The 16,729-nt window shown below is 45.8% G+C and overlaps 1 protein-coding gene and 1 long non-coding RNA gene across 3 annotated transcripts in view, besides 3 other annotated features; one reads left to right on the forward strand and one right to left on the reverse strand.

Moving 5' to 3' along the window:
* Window positions 1,679-3,437, reverse strand: SNTG2-AS1 (SNTG2 antisense RNA 1). Its single transcript, NR_136151.1, has 3 exons — window positions 3,330-3,437; window positions 1,956-2,431; window positions 1,679-1,846 (listed from the first exon to the last, which is right to left on the reverse strand). It is a non-coding gene; the product is annotated as an SNTG2 antisense RNA 1 (long non-coding RNA).
* Window positions 2,803-2,932: a silencer, noted in NCBI's record as "silent region_11102". NCBI's record gives its function as "represses an Ori minimal core promoter by ATAC-STARR-seq in GM12878 lymphoblastoid cells {active_cell/tissue: GM12878}" and the evidence as "EXISTENCE:reporter gene assay evidence [ECO:0000049][PMID:35858748]".
* The window catches only part of SNTG2 (syntrophin gamma 2), a 416,765-nt gene continuing 402,929 nt past the window's right edge, over window positions 2,894-16,729 (forward strand). For both annotated transcript variants that reach the window (NM_018968.4, XM_047444795.1), the window contains exon 1: window positions 2,894-3,113. In NM_018968.4, coding sequence (NP_061841.2) covers window positions 3,042-3,113 — 72 coding nt within the window. In that variant the 5' untranslated portion in view covers window positions 2,894-3,041. The remainder of the gene's footprint in view (window positions 3,114-16,729) is intronic.
* Window positions 11,144-11,663: an enhancer, noted in NCBI's record as "H3K4me1 hESC enhancer chr2:954785-955304 (GRCh37/hg19 assembly coordinates)". NCBI's record gives its function as "activates a minimal SCP1, AML or CMV promoter by ChIP-STARR-seq in primed H9 embryonic stem cells {active_cell/tissue: H9 hESC(primed)}" and the evidence as "EXISTENCE:reporter gene assay evidence [ECO:0000049][PMID:30033119]".
* Window positions 11,664-12,181: an enhancer, noted in NCBI's record as "H3K27ac-H3K4me1 hESC enhancer chr2:955305-955822 (GRCh37/hg19 assembly coordinates)". NCBI's record gives its function as "activates a minimal SCP1, AML or CMV promoter by ChIP-STARR-seq in primed H9 embryonic stem cells {active_cell/tissue: H9 hESC(primed)}" and the evidence as "EXISTENCE:reporter gene assay evidence [ECO:0000049][PMID:30033119]".

Consider the following 16,729-nt stretch of genomic DNA (forward strand, 5'->3'; position numbering starts at 1 on the left):
CAGTACTTCCTCCCAAAGCCTTGGAAGGGGGAAGGTTGGAATATAAAGTCTCATTAGTAACAGACAATGTACCTGGCCATTCTGAATATGTTGACTATAAAAATGACAAGGCCAAGGTTGTATTATTATTAAGACCGGGTCTCACTCTGTCGCCCAAGCTGGAGCGCAGTGGCATGATCTCGGCTCAATGCAACCTCCGCCTCCAGGGTTCAAGGGATTCTCCAGCCTCAGCATCCCTAGTAGCTGGGACCACAGGTGCATGCCACCATGCCTGGCTAATTTTTGTATTTTTTTGTAGAGACGCGGTTTTACCATGTTGCCCAGGCTGGTCTCAAACACCTGAGCTCAAAGCAATCTACCTGCCTTGGCCTCCCGAATTGCTGGGATTACAGGTGTGAAGCACTGTGCCCGGCCTCAAGGTTGTATTTTTACCTTGAAATACAACCTCATTGCTCCTGCCTTTTGACCAGGGCATCTTCCAGTTTGTCTAGGCCACATACATCAGTTTGGTCAGCAATTGATGCATACATATATATGCATATATATATATATATATATATGCATGCAATTGATACATATATATATGCATGCAATTGATACATATATATACACACATACATAGTTCAGTACTATCCACGGTATCAGGCAGCCACTGGGGGTCTTGGAACATACCCATGAGGATGAGGGGTTACTGGAGTTTTTTGTACTACATTTAGAAAGTTTCTGTAAATTCAGAATTATTTCAAAGTTAAAAGTTAATAAAGAGACACTAACTGCAACTGGTTTTAGACACATCTCAGAATCAAAGCTATACTCATCACAAAAACCAGAAAGTTGAATTTTGGTAACCTCATGGGGGACATTCCCTCGCAGAGTTTCAGGATAGTCAGGGTTTTACTTTTTATTGTTATTGTTATTGCAGTAGAACCCTAGTATTTAAAATAAGCAAAATAACCCTTACGTGCAGTCCTGACACAGATGCATAAAAGCAGATAGGCAGTTAAAACTTGAATTAATTAGCCTTTCAAAAGCAGCCCCAGAGCGCCTACGACGTCCTGGAATCACAAAATTTTATTATAGAAAGGATTCCAGAGATTGTTAGCCAAAACTACATTATTTTACAAATGAATTAACAATTACCTTTGGTCTGAAAAACAAAAATATATGTGTCTATTCATTTAACGATAAAATTTTAACAAAAACTTGTCTCTCAAAGTCAACATTTATGCATGCAACACGCTGTTTTTCCTTCTTCAGGCCCTGGAATAGAATGTCCCTTTGCAAGGTAATGAGACAATATCTTTGTGCTATTTGTAGACATTTAATTTCTCAGAGATTATATGCACGCTCTTTTAAAAATGCAATTTAAAGGCAAACAATAATCTCTTGTACTTTTTCTTATTCTAGGTTTTGCTACAAATAAAAAGTAATACAATATTTTTTACCAATTCACCCAAGAAGCATATTTTGTAACAGCCACTGTGCCACGTATAAAAAGACCTGGTTTTTGCTATTCAAGAGCTTGTCCTCTGGTTAAACTGAGTGCTAAGAAGTGCTGGCAGACTGCCGTGAAGGTGAAACAGGAATACAGAGAATAGAGAAATGGGGAAGGGCGTCTGTGTTCGAAACCCAGGTCTGCTCAGGGGTCAAGCAAGTCGGAGTCAGAAAAAGTAAAGTGTTTAACATCGAGTTTTCAATATTTATTTGTTTACAATGCGTCACATTCTGCTCCTAGATAGGGTTAACCTCTGAAGACCTCAGATTTCGCTGCTTTTCCTTGCCGTGGAGAGGGAATAAAACGGGCATCGTGGCCTCCGCGATGGGCGCTCGTGCCTGGGTCGAAGGACTGGGGGGCGGAGGATTTGGAAAGGGAGAAAAATACGGGCTGGCTTCTTTTTAAAAAATGTGGGTAGCCTTGCCTGCCCCCGCCGCACTGGAATTTATCCTAAACTTACTTTCATTTACATTAAAACAAGACGATTTGAGTCTACCAAACCCAATACTGCATCTGTGAGGCTCCTTTTGGCACAAACCTGAATGAACAGCGGGAAACGCCGTCTCCCCTGGCGTCTGAGATCTGGGGTCCCCTCCCCACCTGGTCTCCTCGCTCCCGCCCCAGCCCCGTGCGCCCCAGGAGGGCACCGCCGAGCGCCGGGTCCCCGCAGGGTTCGGGAGACTCCGCGGACCGGAGGAGGGATAGGACCCCCGAGCTTTGGGGGCGGGAAGGGAGGGTGGAAGGAGGAGGGGAGCGGGGTTGGGGAAAGTTGGAGCTTCGGTATCTTTTCTCCGGGCCAGGCCGTCCTCGGGGCCCTGCGCTGCGTCTCCAAGTGCTGGGAAGACTCCGCGGGGAAAGGTCTGAGGACGCGGCCGGCTGGCACAGGTGTGGCGGCTTCAGAGGGCCGGGGAGAACCCATGGCTTCGAGGCTGTGGACTAGAAATGTCCCTGATTAGAAGCTGAGAACCTTTGGCCAGGGAGGTGGGGCGGCGGGGAGGGGTCGTCAAGCCGGTCCAGAGCGCGCCCACCTGCGCCACAAGGGAGAAGAGGTGCCCCCCGCCCCCCTCCGCCCACCGCCGCCACGATGCGCCGCGGACCTCGGCGACCCAGCCCGGGTAGAAGCGCGCGCTCCCCTCCTCCAGCCTCGTGCGCCGGCCCCTGCCCCGCCAGCCCCGCTATGGTCCCCCATCCACCCCCGCGGGAGCGCCCCTGTCCCCCCATCCTGCACTTCCCCCAGAGTCGCGCGCCAGTTTCCCGCCCCGTGGAAGCGCCCCTCTCCCGACTTCGGCTGATCCCCGCTCGCCGCCCTCCCCGCGGGTGCGCGCCCGGCCCCTCCCTCGCCCGGGGCGGGTCTGCGTGGGCGGTGCTCCGGGTCGGCGGGCGGAGCTCCGGTTCCCCAGCCCTGCGCCCCGGTGGAGCCCGAGCCGGAGCCGGCAGAGGGGCGCGGGCGCGGACGCGGCGCCTGGCGGGGCCCTGGGAGGCTCGGACGGGGTCCTGGCGTTGAGCTCGGCCGGCCCGGAGCGCGGACCCAGCCGCAGGGGCGGCGATGGGCACCGAGGGACCCCCGCCCCCGGCCGCCTCCCGCGGACGCCAGGGCTGCCTGCTGGTACCTGCGCGGGTGAGTGCGGCCCCTCAGCGCCCCTTCACCTCCGGCCCCCCTTCCCTCTCCTTCGCGCCCTTCTCCCCCCGCCCCTCCTCCCTCCACGCCCCCTCGCTCCCCGCGACCCCTTCCCTGTCTCCGGGGACGGCTGGCCGGAGGGTGGGCGCCGGAGCCCCGGGACGCAGTGGGCACCCGCCCCCTGGCCGCTCTGCTCCCTCCAGCCCAGTGTCTTACTGGAAACTTGCAGGCTTTGCTCCTCCAGCGTCTTCCAAGGTTTGGTTTTGAGGCGCCCGGGCTTCCCTTTACTGCGTGGGAAGTAGTGCTTTCCAGAATTTGGGATTTGAGATTGGCCCGGCATTGCTTCCCAGGAGCGGCTCTTTCGGGCCCAGGCGGTGGCTCGGACCGGAGCGTCCCCCCTGCAGCCTTCGGGCGCCCAGGCCAGGTCTGAGTTGGCCAGTTTGAGCCCAGCCAGGTGCATGGCGCGGCCTCGGCAGGTGCTGGGGGCTCTAGGCCATTCGGGGAACCGCTGGGACGCCAACTGGGTAATACGGATTTCTTTTTTGAAGTCTATTCTGGTTCCCACCCTAAATAACTCCCTCTTCACCTTCTTATTTTTAAATAACTAAACTATTGATTGACAGAAAACAGAAATGTTGGCCCAAAGAAAAACGAAAAGTTCTTGGAAACCTTCAAGTTGCCACCCACAGCACAGCCTCGAGTTGTGAAAACAGTTTAAGGGAGCACGTGGCCACCCCAGCCCTAGGAGGCTGCCGAGAAGCGCGGCTGTTAATGAAAATGCATTGACAACCACTCCTTTAGGATTCCTTCCCCAGGAGCTCCCAGTCCCAGGAGCGACCAGGAATACAGTTAGCCCTCCCTTATAGGACAGTGGAGAGACGGTTCAGAAGGCCACGGGTTGAGGGCTGCTACAAATTCCTATCGTCATAATAATGATTCTAAACTAGGACTGTGGTCGTCGCTACTGTGATGTTAAAAAGATTTCTATGTAGAGACAGGTGCATCTTCATTCAAGTAGCACCTTTCTGGGCTTTTACTACAAAATATGAAAATTAAATTTCATGTAAAATGTGGGTGTTCGTTTCTTGAAGTACTTTGTAATATGAATAGCTATCCCACTGTTGCCCATGGTAATCAAACCCGAGAAAATATGCGGGGATTACCTGGAAATAAACCGCAGTAAAAACTGCAGGCGCTGTGGAATCACAGGCTTTCCGTCTGGTCACTGCCTTCAGCTTTATAATGATGCCCTCCCACGGTTAGGGATTGTGCATTTTTCTCCAGACATTCGAGCAAAGCAATTCTTGCTTTTAATCATTGTAATTATAGCGGAAGCGTTGAAGTGGATTCATCATACTTCATGATTGACCCACTTGATGAGTTATTGGCAATAACGTCAACAAATAAAGCAACTGCGCGTATTCTAGTAAATGCTCTCCTTTGCGCTCAGTATTAATTAAGGTGCTAAATTTGATGTTTTCCAGTCAAGAGTGGCCTCTGCTCACCTGTTTGCTACAAGATGTGATTGGCGCTTTCTTTCTAATAAGGACCTTGATTATTTGAAACAGCCTGTCTGAATTGTATTGAAAGAAACTTTTTTTTTAGCGTTGGAGGCCAAGTATTACAATAAGATGGAGCATTTTAAGAGCAAGACTCCTAACTTTGCAGTCATAAGTAATTAGGTATGTGCTAAGCCTACCTTAGACACCAGTGCATGGTCATGTTAGCTCAGATTCTTATGTATTTAAAACGAATCTGTTAAGTATTGGTGTTGGCAGGTTTGTCTTGAAAACATGAATGTTCTTAGTATACAATGTCATCCTTACTTAATGGCAGAATTATTTTCTTACCATAACTGCACAATATTATTCAACTTGTGTAATTATTTAATCATTTCAGTTAAGAGAACTTGGTGCTTTTAACTAGAAAAAGATGAAAGTCTTTTCTAAATCTTATATTTCTAGTTATATTTTTTCTATCTGAAGTCAAAACTATACACATTCTTTATCATGACTGCTTGTTTGAATCATGGAATTTGGCCACGTTTGAAGGTCTCCTGTTCGGTAACAGACCTGTTTTGTTTCCCCTTTCAAGTGCCTGTTCCCGATGTTTTTTTCTAAGTTAAGTGAGTTCATGGAGCTCTGTCTCTGACCATACCTGGATTTGAGGGGTAAAATCCCACTGGCAGACAACCTCAGTACAATGTGCGAAGTGTGTCTTGCTTGTAGCTTCAAAGACTACTATTGGTTGATGTTTACAGCACATTTGCTGCTTTTAAATGACAACACTTCTTCAGTCTGGGGCGCTGGAAGAATTATTGGCATGAGCCGGGAACATGCCCATTTATGTGATGAGCTTGCCCACTGAAGGGGGAAAGCACGTTAGGTCATTTTAAAGGTGCATGTGGGGTAAGGGCACCACCTAATCATCTGTTTACAGATGTGAATTGCTGCATGAGATGAATGAAGCATCTGAGCTCCTAAGAAGGTTCCCCATTCCTTCTATGCTTTGGTTATGTTTCTCATCCTTGCTGACTCATCTTTAATTTCAACTGTAGAATTTCTATTGACGTCTATGACATCATAAGCAAAATCCATGCATTACAAAGCAGGCAGTTACCTGACTTTACCAGGAGACATGGAGACATGTTCCCCAGTAAATATTTGAATGAGGTCCAATTAAGAAAAGTGTGCCTTGTTTTTGTTTTTGTTTTTTTCCAACATGGGATGTTAAAATTGCCTTGTTTTCTGAATGGTGTATGTGGAGCAACAGCTTCTTGTCTCTGGATATCTTTATGGATGATGACTGTAGACAAGGCATTTAAGCTTCAGTTTTAATTTAGATCTGCTTCTCAAGATACCCCATGAGGCTCTGAGTGAGTTGGCAGAGGGGCTGGCATTGCAGTTCTCGGTGACAGAGGGTGTGTTTGCATCGCAGGCCTCCTATTTACTAAATGGGTATATTCAGGATAGACTTACTAAGCAGTGTGATTTTCTGGCTTTCCTGTTAGCTCATGTAGCATGTGACAGCAGGCACACGAGGGACCCCAAAGAGGAGCTGCTCTCAGGCTCTGCTGCGCACCCCTAGCTCCTGCGCTGCTGGGCATGGGGCGGACACAGGCAGGTGCTCGTGGAAATGGAGAAGGAAGGAGGGAGATCAGGGTTCCAGGGAACTCAGAGAACCCCGGCTTCGGGAACCACCATCCTCTCTGGCTCTGGCTTCTCACCTGTGGAATGTGTGCTTGGGTTCCGAAGGTCACTTTGTATCTGATTCCAAATCCCTCAGAAACTCACTCTTTAATTAGTTCTAGAGGTATTTTTGTTGAGTGAGACACAACAAGGAAGGTGGAAAACATGCTTTTGGAGGAAAAATGCACTCAGGATTTAATGGAAAATGGACCTTGAACTGGTGTGTACTTGTCATTGTTGTCCAGCTGGTTACCGCATGTTGTCATGACTGTAGTTTTGAATAGTCGACTTTGGATTATTTTCAGCTAACACTAGATGTCACTTTCCCCCAGTCCATACTAAAGTTCCCTGTAAAATTCAGGAAGCCGAGGTTATCCTTCCTATTTCTGTATTAAATGCTAAGCTCCCCTATGTGGGTGTAATCCCTCACCTGAGGACTGACCCCAGCCTGTGGCTCTTCATCCCCTGCCCCTCTGAACAAGAAGGCCCTCCAAAAGCTCACCCATTTCTGGCTGCCTTCCAGGGACCGTGCTGCTTCTTCACCCCATCAGCCTGAACCTTCCTGTTTTCTCCCCTTGCACATTTTAATAAATACTGTTAACAATGCTGTGAATATGAGGATGTGATTTTGCAATTAGAATTACATGTTAAAATAGTTTGCTTTTTAAGGAGTCTACATTTTTACATCCTATAAATATGATTATAAACTAGCTACATTTTAATTTAGCAAAGACTTTGGATTTAAGAAAGTGAGTATGCTTCTTATTTAGGGGATACTGTTCTAAACATTTGTAAAATGTAAAGTTATATTTTTAGTGCAAAAACTATTAAACTTCACAGTCTGCTAACTGCTAAACTGCTAAGTTTTAATTCTGTTTTATCTGTTATACTTTGTAAAGAAACTGCATGTCATTCACTTCTCTGGACTTGAAACCTAGATCAGTGCATGGCCTGTTATTTTGCAATAATCCGCATTAGTGTTAATGAAAAAGGTGACCCTCCACTGTCAAGATTCTGAGTATCAACTCTGGGAGTTACCAACATTCACTCGACATTTGGGTGAACATCATTTGATGATGGCACCGAATCGTGTTATTATAAAAACAATCACATAGAACATTAGAATCAAGTGTCCTAAATATCGTGCTTATTGGCCTCCATTTTATAAATTTACTTTTCCTCTTGTTTTTATTTGGACCCCAGCTCCAGAAGACAAACTTTCTTCTTGTACTCAGCCAGTGGCAGTGGTCTCTAAGTATGGACTGACCAGGAAATCACTGTAATTACTCCTACCTTCATCAAAATAGTTTAAATGACAAATCCTGTGCAAGAATTAAATTCCACTTCTGTAAACAATGCTTATAGTTGCAGATGTTTTATTGTGTAGTTCATAAATTATTATAGGTAAGGGCACAGCCATGGGGACGCACTCAGATTCCATGGAAGAATGTTTCTGTTCGTTGAGCGGGTGTTTAGAAAATAATCTGCATTTTTGAAGTGGGATACAGCTGCCAGTTGTTCTGAACAAAATCATCACTTATTTTGGATTTGGCAGCAAGTCCTCTAGCAAGTCCTCTCACTCCGAACAGGGAGGCCTCCCGTAGTCTGGGGTCCCAGCTACCCTCCTTTTAGAAGCTGGTGCCAGGGAGGCCAAGGGGCCCACATCTGCCACTGTCTCCGGCCCTGCCTCAGAGCCTTCCCTGCCCCTGCCCCTGCCCCTGCATCTGCATCTGCATCTGCCCTGGCCCCACCCACTGCCCTTGTGACTGTGCTGGCCCCTGCCCCTGCCCCTGCCCCTGCCCCTACCCCTGACCCTGACTTGTGCCAAATGCTCCGCACCTGCCCCTACCCCTGCCCTGCCCCTGCCCATGCCCTGCACCCACCGCGCCCCGCCCCTGCCCCTGCCCTGCACCTACCCCTGCCCTGCACCTACCCCTGCCCTGCCACTGCCCCTGCCCCTGCCCCGCCCCTGCCCCACCCCTGCCCCGCCCCGCCCCTGCGCCTCCCCCTGCCCTGCCCCTGCACCTCCCCCTGCGCCTGCCCCTGCTGGGCATTCTGCGCGGACCTTTCCAAAACTCCTCTCTGCAGCTCAGTCCGGAGCAGGGTTGTGTTCTGCCCTTCCCAGGCTGGAGCATAACCACTCACCCCGTGGCTGCATCCTTCCTCCCTCGGGCCTTCACACACCTTGGTTGGGCACGTGGAGCGCTGCCTGCCCTGGCCCAGGGCCTTTGCTCAGCTGCCTCTCCTGGAGGCTGCATCTCACCAGGCGCAGCACCTGCCCCCGCAACCCATGCCCCTTCCTGCGGAGGACCCGCTCCCCCAGGGCCCCGGCCCACCCGTGGCTGTGAATGGGCCCATCTCGGTCGGGCGTCTAGGAGGGAAGTGGCACCTGGGTCCCCTGCTGCTGTGAGCCCGTGGAGGGGCCGCTTTCAGAAGGACACAGCCCGGGGAACTCGGTTCTGCCCTGCTGCGTGGTAGCTGACCCATGTGTCAGTTGAGCCAATAAGTATATATCTGAATTAGATGTATGTGTTTCTATGAACTAGAGAGAAAGTTCCGTTTCTGGTTTTTGAACTGATAATTTATTTTGTATTTATGCCCAGTTTATTTGGATTTAAGTAAAATTGTGCTTTCATATTTTTAGAATAGCTATGTTTTGATTTTAATTTTTCACATCAGCATAAGTTTAATGGTAAATATAATTCTATTTCTCAGCTGTATCCTGCTCAAGATTATCCTTCATGACTTCTCTGCAGATAATTATATTTTACCAAATGGCTCTGTCAGTTTGCCTTTTTACATGATTAAGTTTTCTTTATGTACTGAGAAATATGAAATTACTTCTTATACCTAAACCTGGGGACATCCAGAACCCGATGAGTTAGATGCAGTGTTTTTAGAAACGTGTGCCAACTTGGTCATAGTTAGCATAGGTCATATGGTCTTGAAAGAAATCCAAGTCTGGTTTTATTCCTAAAACGATCATGGTCTGCAGCAAGGTAGATAGAGAAAGTCCAGCCTTTGTATTACCTCCTCAGAAACACTAGAAATTTTACCACCTCCCTGCTTGAGGGGGAGCAACGGATGGGGAACGGTGGTGGGAAGTAGCTCTGGGTCTCAGGCCTCCTTTTGAAAGTTGGGGGTTTGGCGATGATTAAGTGCCATTTGGAGAATTGCTTTATCATGATGCACCTTACGTACGTGCAGACACAGACACACAGAATTTAGAGAAGAATGATTGAGTACCTATTAATTGCCACACACTGAGCTGGAAGCTAAAGATAAAAATAGAGTAGAACACCTCTCAGACCAGGCCAGTGGGGCCCTGACTACCTGAGAGGCAAATTCTAGACAAGCAGACACGAAACAGCACAGGGCAGCTACAATGTGTTCCCTCTTCTATAGATGAGGTCGGGCAACATTTGTCTTCCGGCACATGGAAGGCGAGACTGGTACTGAGACTGAGACTGAGACTGAGACGGGAGAGATGCAGTCACAGGCCAGGGGCACCTGCAGCCACCAGAGCTAGAGGAGGCAGGAAGGAGGCTCCCTGGAGCCTCTGGAGGAATTTGATCCTGGACTTCTGGCTTCCAGAACTGTGAGAAGATAAATGTGCATTGTTTTAAGCCACTAAGTTTGAGGAAGTGTTGTCATAGCAGCCGTGGGAAGCTAATCAGTCTTTTTAGGTAAGTAATATAGCTTTTAGGGAATATCTTCTTAGAAATGTAGGGAATTTGAGCCCAGAACCCCCAGGTTAGAACTTACCTAATTGCTAACATCTACTAGGTACTAAGAGCTCTTTGGAGGGCTTCGTTCCTTTAACACCCCTGGGGTACTGCTGATGCTCCCCACCTACACATAAGACTGTAGAGACGGCAGGTGAGGTGTGGTCCGCATGGTGGCTGCAGCCCCTGGGCGTCTGACTGTGAGAGAGATGTCTCTATCCCACGTGCAAAGGCTGAGAAATGGCCCCAAATGCGTTTCCTTTAAGTGGTTATTGCTTGTGAGACAAAAGGATAACAACAGGAATTAGGAAATCAGAATCAGGAGGAATATACAACTGTTTTCTTATAACTGAGGTTGTCATACAAAATGGGAACAGGTTCATAAGTCGAGTAGATGGCAACAGCTCATGCAGCCCCTCCCCACACACATAGCAGTGAAATGATGTTGAGATCATGCAGAGTACTATGTGATATTCTCCAGATTTGGTGCTTCAAGATGGATTTTTCATAAAAAGACTCTGCAAAGATATGACATTTTATTGAAGCTGAACTAGCAGAAGCTTTGTCAATTACCTACACTGTAATTGCTTTAAAAAGGAAAAAAAAGAAAACCTCTAAAGTCACCATTATCTAAATTGGGGTTAAGAATTTGAAAGGTATTGAGAACATGAATTTGTAACCAAAATACATTATAATCTAAATAAATGGTCTTTTTTTTTAAAGTGGTTCATTTGAAATCCAGAGAGATATGAAAAAAATTGTGTGGACTTCCAAATTATTTTCTATTTTAGCTTTCTAGATGTAGTACAGTAAAATGTACTATTTCTTACATAGTTTAATATTTTGATGTTAGGAGTTATAGTATCAAACATGCCTTATGACAGTCAAAATTTTGGGATAGTACGATATCTAAAACAATGATGCTTGGGTAAGAGTTAAGAAATTAGAACCAAACTCTGAAACTGCTAATAACAAAAGGTAATAAAGGATAAGGACTCACACACAGATAAGACCACTTTTTCTCTGTATATAAAATACATTTGTTCTTTGTAGCAACAAAATGAAATAGAACAAATTGTAATATATTTTGTAATGTATAACACTTATATAAGGTTTAATTATATTTAAAAAATTCATTTCTATGTTGAATAATATTGTAAATTTAGTAATCGAATAAAGAGGAAAATCTAGTAGCTGAAAAAAGGAAGTAAACTGAAAGCTTTCCTATCAGAACAAGATACAAACCCACTAGGAAACAGCTGCATATGTGAATTACGTGCTTTGTAAGCGCTGGGATGTAAATATTCTTTTATGCAACTCTTCCTTATTGAATTGAGGAGAGGACCAGCACAGATCTATGAAAATGCTATGAGCTTTATGTATTGCAATTATTTTCTTCCAAAGCTTTATCAAATTTTGTCGTGACCTACAGATTCTTTTGGTTTTAATCAGGGTGGAATCAGAATGCTTTTAGATTTGTAATTTCCATGTTGGCAGGAGGAAGGGAGTCAGGGAGGCCTGGAGTCGGGGGGAGGTCCAGGGTTCAGCTGTGCTAGGGTCGCCTGGTGCAGGGGGCTGCCTGGGGGTGTGGTGTTCCCGCAGTGGGCTGTGCAAAGTCTCAGGGCGGCCTTTGCTTTACTGGCCTTGGGCTGAATGGAGAAGGTGAACGGAGCAGACCAGTGTCACAGAATTGCATCGTGCAGGCCTTGCCTTTGTGACCCGGGGCTGGAGGCTGCATCTCGGGTGCCGCTGTGCAGATGGAGGGAACCTTTGGGGATGTGATTTGAATCTTCCTATCCCCTTCTTTGGAGTAAATACATTTCCTTTATTCCTTTGATGTTTGTATGAATAGTGGCATGGTATCCGTATCTCAGTACTGAAAGTGAATATGAGATGGAAAAATACAAGGAAGGAAAGTTCCTGTGACCTGGTCTATACCTATCTAGCAGCTCATAGATTTCCTTCTGGCTTTTTCTGGTGTATATTCTGTAAGTTAAACTCATCCTCAAGATAGAATTTTCTATCCTGCTTTTTAGAATTCTCATTATAAAATGATAATTTTCATAGTTTGCTAAGAAATATCCATCAATTACCATCATCCCCCTGCTTAAGGTTCTTCTGTATCAGTGGAGAGGCTTCGGGCAGGTGTTCCCGTAGGAGGGGGCTCTGTTAATGACACGGTCCTTTGCCCTTCTGTCTGGAAAGCAGCACCTGTCCTTGCTGCACTGGCTCAGGCGTCTGTGACTAGGGTGACAGTGTTGCTTAGGAATCCCAGCTGATAGCCAGGCCTGTTCCCTGGTAGGATCCCACAGTGGGGAATGCTGGGCTTCTGGGCCCCACAGTTCTCCCGAGAGCTCGGGCTGCCTGTTCTCCTTTGTTCTCTCCTTTGTTGGGAATGCTTCAGTGCACGATGCTTTTCAGGGTAGGGTCATGTGTGCCTTATTTTCTCATCGGTGAGATTGGATTCCTGTTGTCTCCCAGGTGAGCCCTGGAACTCAGGGTTCAGCTGGATGCAGACAGAGGACTCTGCCCTCGTGGAGGAGCTGGGAGCACGGTGAGCTCTGAGGGTTCCGGGGCACGGCTATAGGTTCTGAAGGGGGTGCTCCTACTGCCTGCTCATGGGAGCACGGTGAGCTCTGAGGGTTCCCGGGCATGGCTGTAGGTTCTGAAGGGGGTGCTCCTACTGCCTGCTCATGGGAGCATGGTGAGCTCTGAGGGTTCCTAGGTTCTGAAGGGGGTGCTCCTACTGCCTGCTCATGGGAGCACGGTGAGCTCTGAGGGTTCCCACGCACGGCTGTAGGTTCTGAAGGGGGTGCTCCTAATGCCTGTTCATGGGAGCACGGTGAGCTCTGAGGGTTCCCGGGCATGGCTGTTGGTTCTGAAGGGGGTGCTCCTACTGCCTGCTCATGGTCTTGGGACTCCTCACCTGCCCTCCTGCTCCCTGCCACTCCAGGGCACAGCCCCTGGTTTGTCTGTTCCTGTCACTCCCCGCCTGGACGGGCAGCTCCCATGAATGCTGCCAGCTACTGTAGATAGTGCTGATCACAATAATTTATGATTTCTGATTTTATCACCATTTTCTGTTGATATAAATCTTTATCTTACTGATATTGCCAGAGTTTCTAGTAAATGAGAAATTGTCATGGTAAATAAAACCAACTTTATTTTGTTTTATATGTTATCACCCCTGGGAGGCTTTTGGTTTGAAACTACTGTTAGATTTTATTTTATTTTTTTATTTTTGAGACGGTGTCTTGCTCTGTTACCCAGGCTGGAGTGCAGTGGCACGATCTTGGCTCACTGCAACCTCTGCCTCTGGGATTCAAGCGATTTCTGGCTTTTTAATATATTTTTAGTAGAGATGGGGTTTCACAATGTTGGCCAGGCTCCCAAAGTGCTAGGATTACAGGAGTGAGCCACTGTGCCCGTGGAGATGAACCATGTCTGTGAACTTTTCTATAACGTAGCATCTGCATTAGTACAGCTGCTGGGAGTTAACACACCACGGTGTGCCCAGGAAATGTTACATTTTAATTTTCTTACTCAGAATGGTAGGATTAGCCATTGAATTTCTCAATTATTGGGTTTTCTGCAATATCTTTTAATGGAGCATTTTATTCTTTTTCTTAATTTGTAGGCTTATGTTGTGTCTGTTGTTTTGTTTCCTGGGATCTCTTATGTCATTTTGAGTTCAGTTTTTCCGCTATTCTGAAATGTGGGTACATTCCCAGTGAATGGGTCTAAGATAGTGACAGCCTGTTTGTCTCCGTGCTGAACTGATCATGGCAGTGGATCTTGCTCAGAGAAAGGAAGTGCTTTTAGCTAGGCTGGGTTTATAGAAAACACACTGGTATGCACACTTCATGTGAAGCTGCTGAGGCTTTTAGCCAGGCTGGGTTTATAGAAAACACACTGGTGTGCACACTTCATGTGAAGCTGCTGAGGAAAATTTACTTTTTAGAACAGCAGTACTTCTTCCCAGATGAGCAGATGGAAAAATCACATTTCACAATTTCAGTTGAGAAAGATGGAGTTGTACCATTCAATCTAGACTTCATTGGTTCTTCAGTGAAATGTGGAAATACTGGTAACCTAAGATACATTTCTTATTTTAGTTTTAGTTTTTTGGCTGGAGTGCAGTGGCATGATCATAGCTTACTGCAGCCTTGAACTCCCCAAACACCTCAGCTCAAGCAATGCCCCTGCCCCAGCCTCCCGAGTAGCTGGAACCACAGGCACATGCCACTATCCCGGCTAACTTTTTAACTTTTATACCGATGGGGTCCCATTATGTTGCCCAGGCTGATCTTGAACTCCTGGTCTTAAGCGACCCTCCTGCCTCGGCCTCCCAAAGTGCTGAGATTGTAGGTGTGAGCCACCATGCCCAGCCCCAAGATAAGTTTCGTACCATACAAGAAAGCATGAGTTTTGTGGTGACGGTTCTGGATCTGGATCTGCCTTGCACCTTTTCTTTAACCACATCACTCTCAGCTTCTTCATTTGTGTCCTTCGCTGTATCCAGTTGCTGGAGTAGCTGCATTTGAAACCATATGAGCCTCTGCAATGCAGAAAAATAATTAGATGAAGTAAGGAATTTATCCATGGTACAAATAGAATCAACATATTTCTTGATTATGCCTGTCTTTGAATAAGTAGGTTATGCTGAGTTTTCACTTCATCTTTGAAATAAATAGAAAAATAATAAATCGAATATGTTTTATTCAACCTCATGATGTTAAGTAATGAAGCCACATAAAACCAAGAAAATTACAGATACCTGTGTAAAGGAGATATGGTGAGCCCTGTCCTGGCTTCTAATTTGATTGAGGAGAGGCACATAAATTGAAAACAAAACAAAAAAACAGTTCATTAAAACAGAAGATAAGTGTCATCCCTTAAATTAGAGAATGAGCGTGCTAAGCCCCACATTCACAGGTGCCTCTACTAGCGGGGAATTTGGAGGTACTGCAAATATTTCAAACCAGAAAAGGTGAATACTGATGATTTTTGGCGTGGTAACATGATTTCTCATACCACTCCTGTAGTCTAAAGCTGGTTTGAGTGCCTGCTTTGTGTCATACTATTCAAAAACTAACTGCAGTTTTTCTTAATTTATTCTTCATTAATCATCAGACTATGATTTGAGCTTTTTTTAAAAAAAAAACTTCATTATTTGAAAGTGATTAACATTAACATCATTAACATAATGAATTTAAAGCCTATTTTTCCAAAAGCATCACAAAATAGGTACTTTTGAAAATGAAAATATGCTACGTAAAAATTGAAATGGAATGACCCAAAAAATTCAAAATTGCATTAAAGTAGACAGAAAAAATGTGCTTCAAACAGATAAGAAAGGCAGCATGCTCAAAAAAGTTAACTCTTTATTTAACTTTATCATATTTATATGATATACAGTTTTCTAAACATTAGTTCTTCTGGGAAAAGTATTAGGAAGGCGAGCAAGTCAGTTTCCACGCTTTACACACTTATATGTAAATGAGGTGACCAGGGTTATCACCTATGTTTGGTATACGTGTACCCAAAATAATTAATAATGTTCTTATTGAAATAACATGTGCCTTGGGACCAACTCCTAATATTTACACCTTTAAAGATAAAAGTATATTTAATATGCCAGTTTTTAACTTCACTAAAATTTGGGCCTTTCATTTTTCTTTTCCACAGTTTTTGACTGGCTTGAATAGTGCCTGGCCCATACTAGGTGCCCAGTAAAAATTGGCTGAAGATATTAATACTAAATTAAAATATTTCAATTTCAAACTAACTCTAGAATCTTAACAGTTTACAGGACACATCTCCACTCGGTACTAAGTATAAATCCTTTGGAGGGTGTCATGTGAAAATGAAGCTAACAGTTAAGATAATCCAATTGCATGTTGTTATAAATCTGTCTTCATTTTCTTCTTTTTGTTTCTTCTTTTTGTTTCTTCACTTTGTTCCAAAGTGACCGTGTCTCTCATTTTTAACAGTTTCAGCTGCCTGCGTTTTCCTGTCTCTAGTCTCAAGGCTCAGCGATCCACGCAGTCACAGTGTGTGCTGCTCTCCCTGTTGGCGAGCTTTGTAATCAGATCTGTCTTCTTGGTGATATTGAACACCAGTGTTGCTTGTGAAATCCAGGCGTCAGCACTACCTCTGGATCTTGTAATGAAGCTCCAAGGTAGCCAAAGAACTCACACATGCCTAACTTTTTAGAAAGAGAGCAATTTTCTAAAATAAATTCCTTATTAAGAAGGAGTCTTCTTATAGTTGTGTGGAAAGTTTGTTGGAAGCATCTTTCATTGACTTGTATACTGTGTTCTAAGGACATGAGGGAGCCCTTCCTGTCCCATGGTGTCTCCGCCTGCCTCCGCCCCTTCGTGCCAGGGTTACTGATTTGCTTCAGGTGCCTTTAGGATTTTTGCAGGAAAAGAGTCAATATTTAACATTTTACTTCCAGGAGAGCAGTCCCAAACAAATCCTTCTCATCCATATTGCTGACTGTAGGATGCAGATGTGTTTGCAGGAAATGTGTTAGGGAGGTTCCCAGCATCACCCCATGAGAAGGATGGGAGGAGGAAGGGCTGGACAAGGGGCCCTGAGGGATGAGGCCTTGGTTGATCCTACAAGGAGTTCTGAAGACAGGACAAGCCTTTGAAAGCCTCCCCTGTGGGGAAGAGACACTGGGTCCTTGGAAGTGCAG

The sequence above is a fragment of the Homo sapiens genome, chromosome 2 (genome assembly GCF_000001405.40).
Source record: "Homo sapiens chromosome 2, GRCh38.p14 Primary Assembly".
Classification (NCBI taxonomy): domain Eukaryota; kingdom Metazoa; phylum Chordata; class Mammalia; order Primates; family Hominidae; genus Homo; species Homo sapiens.